Here is an 848-nt window from a genome sequence, read left to right as displayed (position 1 = left end):
CTAACATTGTTCAATCTCTATAAATGTTAAAAACTGTCAAGAAATAAAAATTAATAGATTTGTCTTCATATATACACAATAAATCCGTGCATGTATACATCTATACATACATGTATGCATATTCAGAGTTATAGCAGCCTATGGACCAGCATATTTCTTCCGCTAAAGTCAGGCATTAGCCAGAATTCTATCTTCAATTCTATATTATATATTATGTTGTGAAAATTCATCAGTGTTATTAGATACCAGATAACATCCCATCGAATAACCCCAAACCTACAATATCTCGCTAATGTTTAAAGAAACTTATTGTCACTAGGCATCTGAAAACTTCCATGATCTGCCTTTGACCTACTTACATTTCTAGCCAAATGTTCCATTACTTCCTTTTCTATTCCCCAAACAGTGATATTTTAACATATTGAACATTTTGTCTATCTCTCTTCCTTTATTCATATTTTTTCCTCAGTCTGAAATTGTTACTTCATCTTCAGTCTGTATTTGATGAAATCTTACCAAAGTGTTAAGGTCCTACTTCTATGTCAGAGAGGAAGAATATTTCTCTTGAAACATCTGTTTCCTTCTTTGTCTTTCTTTACATTATTACCACTTTTTGTACTGAAATTCAGTTTGTGTTTGTTTTCCTCACTGATTTAAATTTAAAACTCACTGAAGGCATAGGGGCCTTTTGGGTTTTCCTAAGCAGTTTGATTGTTGTTTTCCTGAAAAGGAATAGGTCTTTGAGGTGGCACTCACCTGTAATGTTGTTTTCTGAAAACACTATGGCTATGTTCAGCTATGAAATAATCCATTGCTAAGATGCAGAGTGGGAACAAACCATCCATTGC

The 848-nt window shown here is 33.3% G+C and overlaps 1 annotated feature.

The window, feature by feature from the left end:
* Positions 304 to 473: an enhancer, noted in NCBI's record as "experimental_107898 CRE fragment used in MPRA reporter constructs". NCBI's record gives its function as "activates a minimal promoter by MPRAs in K562 erythroleukemia cells, with activity observed for the non-introgressed 9:30217525 variant allele {active_cell/tissue: K562}" and the evidence as "EXISTENCE:reporter gene assay evidence [ECO:0000049][PMID:34662402]".

The sequence above is a fragment of the Homo sapiens genome, chromosome 9, assembly GCF_000001405.40.
Source record: "Homo sapiens chromosome 9, GRCh38.p14 Primary Assembly".
In the NCBI taxonomy this organism is placed as follows: Eukaryota; Metazoa; Chordata; class Mammalia; order Primates; family Hominidae; genus Homo; species Homo sapiens.
Note: the sequence above shows the minus strand (reverse complement) of the source record. Positions and strands in the feature narration are given on the sequence as shown.